General features: G+C 41.4%; 1 annotated feature.

The window, feature by feature from the left end:
• Positions 4059 to 5258: an enhancer, noted in NCBI's record as "P300/CBP strongly-dependent group 1 enhancer chr7:109287079-109288278 (GRCh37/hg19 assembly coordinates)". NCBI's record gives its function as "activates an origin of replication core promoter dependent on BRD2, BRD4, P300/CBP, MED14 and CDK7 cofactors, with strong dependence on P300/CBP, by STARR-seq in HCT116 cells {active_cell/tissue: HCT116}" and the evidence as "EXISTENCE:reporter gene assay evidence [ECO:0000049][PMID:35650434]".

The raw sequence follows: 8058 nt of genomic DNA, 5'->3' as shown, positions 1-8058 counted from the left end.
CTAAAATGATAAAGGGGATATCACCACTGATCCCATAGAAATACAAACTACCATCAGAGAATACTACAAACACCTCTACGCAAATAAACTAGAAAATCTAGAAGAAATGGATAAATTCCTCGACACATACACTTTCCCAAGACTAAACCAGGAAGAAGTTGAATCTCTGAATAGACCAATAACAGGAGCTGAAATTGTGGCAATAATCAATAGCTTACCAACCAAAAAGAGTCCAGGACCAGATGGATTCACAGCCGAATTCTACCAGAGGTACAAGGAGGAACTGGTACCATTCCTTCTGAAACTATTCCAATCAATAGAAAAAGAGGGAATCCTCCCTAACTCATTTTATGAGGCCAGCATCATCCTGATACCAAAGCTGGGCAGAGACACAACCAAAAAAGAGAATTTTAGCCTTGATGAACATTGATGCAAAAATCCTCAATAAAATACTGGCAAAACGATTCCAGCAACACATCAAAAAGCTTACCCACCATGATCAAGTGGGCTTCATCCCTGGGATGCAAAGCTGGTTCAATATACGCAAATCAATAAATGTAATCCAGCATATAAACAGAACCAAAGACAAAAACCACATGATTATCTCAATAGATGCAGAAAAGACCTTTGACAAAATTCAACAACCCTTCATGCTAAAAACTCTCAATAAATTAGCTACTGATGGGACGTATCTCAAAATAATAAGAGCTATCTATGACAAACCCCCAGCCAATATCATACTGAATGGGCAAAAACTGGAAGCATTCCATTTGAAAACTGGCACAAGACAGGGATGCCCTCTCTCACCACTCCTATTCAACATAGTGTTGGAAGTTCTGGCCAGGGCAATTAGGCAGGAGAAGGAAATAAAGAGTATTCAATTAGGGAAAGAGGAAGTCAAATTGTCCCTGTTTGCAGATGACATGATTGTATATCTAGAAAACCCCATCGTCTCAGCCCAAAATCTCCTTAAGCTGATAAGCAACTTCAGCAAAGTCTCAGGATACAAAATCAATGTACAAAAATCACAAGCATTCTTATACACCAATAACAGACAAACAGAGAGCCAAATCATGAGAGAACTCCCATTCACAATTGCTTCAAAGAGAATAAAATACCTAGGAATCCACCTTACAAGGCGCGTGAAGGACCTCTTCAAGGAGAACTACAAACCACTGCTCAATGAAATAAAAGAGGATACAAACAAATGGAAGAACATTCCATGCTCATGGGTAGGAAGAATCAATATCATGAAAATGGCCATACTGCCCAAGGTAATTTATAGATCCAATGCCATCCCCATCAAGCTACCAATGTCTTTCTTCACAGAATTGGAAAAAACTACTTTAAAATTCATATGGAACCAAAAAAGAGCCCACATCACCAAGTCAATCCTAAGCCAAAAGAACAAAGCTGGAGGCATCATGCTACCTGACTTCAAACTATACTACAAGGCTACAGTAACCAAAACAGCATGGTACTGGTACCAAAAGAGAGATATAGATCAATGGAACAGAACAGAGCACTCAGAAATAACACCGCATATCTACAAATATCTGATCTTTGGCAAACCTGACAAAAGCAATGGGGAAAGGATTCCCTATTTAATAAATGGTGCTGGGAAAACTGGCTAGCCATATGTAGAAAGCTGAAACTGGATCCCTTCCTTACACCTTATACAAAAATCAGTTCAAGATGGATTAAAGACTTAAACGTTAGACCTAAAACCATAAAAACCCTACAAGAAAACCTAGGCATTACCATTCAGGACATAGGCACAGGCAAGGACTTCATGTCTAAAACACCAAAAGCAATGGCAACAAAAGCCAAAATTGACAAATGGGATCTAATTAAACTAAAGAGCTTCTGCACAGCAAAAGAAACTACCATCAGAGTGAACAGGCAACCCACAAAATGGGAGAAAATTTTCGCAACCTACTCATCTGACAAAGGGCTAATATCCAGAATCTACAATGAACTCAAACAAATTTACAAGAAAAAAACAAACAACCCCATCAAAAAGTGGGCGAAGGACATGAACAGACACTTCTCAAAAGAAGACATTTATGCAGCCAAAAATCACATGAAAAAATGCTCACCTTCACTGGCCATCAGAGAAATGCAAATCAAAACCACAATGAGATATCATCTCACACCAGTTAGAATGGCAATCATTAAAAAGTCAGGAAACAACAGGTGCTGGAGAGGTTGTGGAGAAATAGGAACACTTTTACACTGTTGGTGGGACTGTAAACTAGTTCAACCCTTGTGGAAGTCAGTGTGGCGATTCCTCAGGGACCTAGAACTAGAAATGCCATTTGACCCAGCCATTCCATTACTGGGTATATACCCAAAGGACTATAAATCATGCTGCTATAAAGACACATGCACACGTATGTTTATTGTGGCACTATTCACAATAGCACAGACTTGGAACCAACCCAAATGTCCAACAATGATAGAGTGGATTAAGAAAATGTGGCACATATACACCATGGAATACTATACAGCCATAAAAAATGATGAGTTCATGTCCTTTGTAGGGACATGGATGAAAATGGAAATCATCATTCTCAGTAAACTATCGCAAGAACAAAAAACCAAACACCTCATATTCTCACTCATAGGTGGGAATTGAACAGTGAGAACACATGGACACAGGAAGGGGAACATCACACTCTGGGGACTGTTGTGGGGTGGGCAGAGGGGGGAGGTATAGCATTGGGAGATATACCTAATGCTAGATGACGAGTTAGTGGGTGCACGCACCAGCATGTCACATGTATACATATGCAACTAACCTGCACATTGTGCACATGTACCCTAAAACTTAAAGTATAATAATTTAAAAAAAATTTAAAAAAAAACACTAATATAAATGCCAGGCACAGTGGCTCATGCCTATAATCCCTAGCACTTTAGGAGGCTGATGCAGGTAGATCCCTTGAGCCCAGGAGTTTGAGACCAGCCTGGGCAACATGGCAAAACCTTGTATCCACAAATAATTAAAAATAAAAAAATAGCTAGGCATGGTATTGTGTGTCTGTAGTCCCAGTTACCTGGAAGGGTGAGGTGGGAGGATCACCCCAGCTGGGGAGGTCAAAGCTGCAGTGAGCTGTGGTGATACCAGTGCACTCCAGCCTAGGCGACAGAGTAAGACCCTGTTGCAAAAAATAAACAAATAAATAAATAAAAACTGATATAAAATATCAATACAATAATAAGAAATAATACAAATAAAAACAGTATAGTATAACAACTATTTATATGGTATTTATATTGCATTAGATTATACATAATCTAGAAAGGATTTAAAGTATACAGGAGGATATACATAGGTTATATGCAAATATTTACTATACTATTTTATATCAAGGACTTCTACATCCATGAATTTTGTATGTGAGCATGTCCTGGAACCAATTCCCCTGTGAATACCAAAAGATAACTATTAGTACAATTTTTGTCACCCTATTTATGCCAATGAAAATTAGAAGCCCATATTATTTAATTCAAACATTATTGGAATGAGAAAGGTAAGCACAGAAGCCACAAATCTCAGTTACCGATTTAATAAAAAATATTGAACAAATGCAAAACTGTTGATGTCACTGGTAAGAAAAATTAAGCACTCATCTGCTTCTTACAAGTAACTTACTAAATGTGGGAACAATGACAGCACCTAACCATCAAGTTGCTAATAGGGCTAAATGTGTTAATGTATGTTGAAGTGGTTATAGCATTGCCCTAAAAGATACAAAAAAAGTTTAGTGAATATTTGTATGGGACACAATAAATTTTAGGTTGAATCTATATCAATTTTGTATAAAAGTAAATTTATATCAATGTCTGTGTAATAACAAGGGCCAAGATCTTTCCAAAGTATTAAAAGTTTGATTTTAAGTATTCTAACTATTCTTTACTTAGGAGTATGAGATAGCCACTCTTTAAAAGTTTAACGTTATTTCCTATGGAATTTAAGTATTCATAAAGGGGGTTATTTTATGTGTGCTTGGTTGGTAGAGAAATGATTTAACTGCTGGTGCTATGATTTGAATGTGTCCCCTAAAGTTCACCTGTTGGAAACTCAATTCTGAATGAAGCAATGCTGAGAGGTGAGACCTTCAAAAGGTGATTAGGTCATGAGGGCTCTAGTGGATTAATGCCATTGTTGCAGATGTGGGTTAGTTATCATGAAAGTGGGTTCCTGATAAAAGTATAATTTTGCCCCCTTTCCCTTCTCTCTCTGTCTCTCTCTTTCACTTAATCTGCGTTTCTAGCATATGTTTTCTTGCCCTTCAACCTCCTGCTATAGGATGATACAGTAAGAAGGCCCTCACCAGATACAGGCCCCAGGACCTTGGACTTTCCAGCCTCCAGAACTGTAAGGAATAAATCCCTGTTCCTTATAAATTACCCAGTCTCAGGTATTCTGTTAATAGCAGCATAAAACAAATTAAGACAATATATGTTTAGAATAAGAAACTATGTTTTTAAAAATATTTTTGATAAAAGCTAATTACTTGAAATCATGAATTATGTGGTCATAGGAGGTTTATATTTACCTACCAACATTGTGATAATAAACTCTCTATTATTACTCTGTCTTTATTCTGGAACCTCAATATTACGTCAGTAGTGTCAGGCCTCTGAGCCCAAGCTAAACCATCATATCCCCTGTGACCTGCACGTACACATCCAGATGGCCTGAAGCAACTGAAGAATCGCAAAAGAAGTGATAATGGCTGGTGTCTGCCTTAACTGATGACATTCCACCATTGTGATTTGTTTCTGCCCCACCTTAACTGATGACATTCCACCATTGTGATTTGTTTCTGCCCCACCTTAACTGAGCAATTAACCTTGTGAAATTCCTTCTCCTGACTCAGAAGCTCCCCCACTAAGCACCTTGTGACCCCTGCCCCTCCCCACAAGAGAACAACCCCCTTTGACTGTAATTTTCCACTACCCACCCAAATCCTATAAAATGGCCCCATACCTGTCTCCCTTTGCTGACTCTCTTTTTGGACTTGCTCGCCTGCACCCAAGTATTTAAAAAGCTTTTTTGCTCATACAAAGCCTGTTTGGTGGTCTCTTCACATGGACATGTGTGACATTTGGTGCTGTGACTTGAATTGGGGGACCGCACTTGGGAGATCAGTCCCGTGTCCTCCTGCTCTTTGCTCTGTGAGAAAGATCCACCTACGACCTCTGGCCCTCAGACCAATCAGCCCAAGGAATATCTCACCAATTTTAAATCTGGTAAGCGGCCTCTTTTTACTCTCTTCTCCAACCTCCCTCACTATCCCTCAACCTCTTTCTCTTTTCAATCTTGGTGCCATCCTTCAATCTCTCCCTTCTCTTAATTTCAGCTCCTTTCCTTTTCTGGTAGAGACAGAGGAGACGCATTTTATCTGTGAACCCAAAACTCTGGCGCCGGTCACACACTCGGGAAGACAGTCTTCCCTTGGTGTTTAATCACTGCAGGGATGCCTGCTAGATTATTCACCCACATTGCAGAAGTGTCTGATCACTGCGGGGACACCTCCCTTGATCCTTCACCCTTAGTGGCAAGCACCACTTTCCTGGGGGGCAAGCACCCCCCACCCCTTTTCTCCATGTCTCTACCCTCTCTTTTCTCTGGGCTTGCCTCCTTCACTATAGGCAACTTTCCACCCTCCATTCCTCCTTCTTCTCCCTTATCCAGTATTCTTAAGAACTTAAAACGTCTTCAACTCACACCTGACCTATAACCTAAATGCCTTATTTTCTTCTGCAATGCCGCTTAACCCCCATACAAACTCGACAATGGTTCCAAATAGCCAGAAAAAGGCACTTTCGATTTTTCCATCCTACAAGATCTAGATAATTCTTGTAAAATGGGAAAACGGTCTGAGGTGTCTGACATCCAGCCATTCTTTTACACATTGATCCCTCCCTAGTCTCTGTTCCCAATGTGACTCATCCCAAATCATCCTTCTTTCCCTCCCACCTTTCCCCTCAGTCCCAACCCAACCCCAAGCGTCACTGTGTCTTTTCAATCTTCCTTTTCTACAGACCCATCTGACCTCTCCCCTCATCCCCAGACTGCTCCTCAGGTCGCTCCCCGCCAGGCTGAATCAGGCTCCAATTCTTCCTCAGCTTTTGCTCCTCCACCCTATAATCCTTCTATCACCTCCCCTCCCCAAACCCAGTCCAGCTTACAGTTCCATTCTGTTACTAGCCCTCCCCCACCTGCCCAACAATTTTCTCTTAAAGAGGTGGCTGGAGCTAAAGGCATAGTCAAAGTTAATGCTTCTTTTTCTTTAACCAACCTCTCCCAAATCAGTTAGCATTTAGGCTCTTTTTCATCAGATATAAAAACCCAGCCCAGTTTATGGCCCATTTGACAACAACCCTTAGACGCTTTATAGCCCTAGACCCTGAAGGGTCAGAAGGCAGTCTTATTCTCAATATGCATTTTATTACCCAATCCGCTCCCAACATTAAATAAAGCTCCAAAAATTAAATTCTAGCTCTCAAACCCCACAACAGGACTTAACCTCACCTTCAAGGTGTACAATAATAAAGAAGAGTTGCAATTACTTGCCTCCACTATGAGAGAAACCTCAACCACAGCTGCAGTGCACAAGAACTTCAAAACACCTAAGCCACAGCAGTCAGGCATTCCTTCAGGACTTCCTCCCCCAGGATCTTGCTTCAAGTGCCAGAAATCTGGCCACTGGGCCAAGGAATGCCCGCAGCCCGGGAGTCCTCCTAAGCCGTGTCCCATCTGTGCAGGACCCCACTGGAAATTGAACTGTCCAACTGGCCCAAGGCTCTGACTGACTTCTTCCCAGATCTTCTCAGCTTAGCGGCTGAAGACTGACACTGCGTGATCACCTCGGAAGCCTCCTGGACCATCACAGATGCTTCTGGTAACTCTTACTGCGGAGGATAAGTCCAACCCCTTCTTAATCAATATGGAGGCTACCCACTCCACATTACCTTCAAGGGCTTGTTTCTCTTGCCTCCATAACTGTTGTGGGTATTGACGGCCAGTCTTCTAAACCTCTTAAAATTCCCCAAATCTGGTGCCAACTTGGACAATATTCTTTTATGCACTCCTTTTTAGTTATCCCCACCTGCCCAGTCCCCTTATTAGGCTGAGATATTTTAACAAAATTATCTGTTTTCCTGACTATTCCTAGGCTACAGCCATACCTCATTGCTGCCCTTTTCCCCAGTTCAAAGCCTCCTTCACATCCTCCCCTTGTATCTCCCCACCTTAACCCACAAGTATGGGACACCTCTACTCCCTCCTTGATGACGAATCATGCACCCCTTACCATCCCATTAAAACCTAATCACCCTTACCCTGCTCAATGCCAATATCCCATCCCACAGTATGCTTTAAAAGGATTAAAGCTTGTTATCACTGACCTGTTACAGCATGGCCTTTTAAAGCCTATAAACTCTCCTTACAATTCCCCCATTTTACCTGTCCTAAAAACGGACAAGCCTTACAGGTTAGTTCAGGATCTGCACCTTATCAACCAAATTATTTTTCCTATCCACCCCATGGTGCCAAACCCATATACTCTCCTATTCTCAATACCTCCCTCTACAACCCATTATTCTGTTCTAGATAAACCTAGCTGACCCCATAAATCCTAAATCCTTTCCCCACTCCCCTTTCCATTCCTTAAAAAACAGCTCCCACACTAGCTCTCCCTAACTCATCACTCCCTTTTCATTACACAAAGCTGAAGTGCAGGGCTGTGCAGTCGGAGTTCTTACACAAGAGCCAGGACCACACCCTGTAGCCTTTCTGTCCAAACAACTTGATCTTACTGTTTTAGCCTAGCCCTCATGTCTGTATGCAGCAGCTGCTGCTGCTTTAATACTTTTAGAGGCCCTCAAAATCACAAACTATGCTCAACTCACTCTCTACAGTTCTTATAACTTCCAAAATCTATTTTCTTCCTCACACCTGATGCATATACTTTCTGCCCCCCTCCACTACCTCTCAGCAAGCCGAACTCATTGCCTTAACTCGAGCCCTCACTCTTGCAAAAG

This window comes from Homo sapiens, chromosome 7 (genome assembly GCF_000001405.40).
Source record: "Homo sapiens chromosome 7, GRCh38.p14 Primary Assembly".
In the NCBI taxonomy this organism is placed as follows: Eukaryota; Metazoa; Chordata; class Mammalia; order Primates; family Hominidae; genus Homo; species Homo sapiens.
Note: the sequence above shows the minus strand (reverse complement) of the source record. Positions and strands in the feature narration are given on the sequence as shown.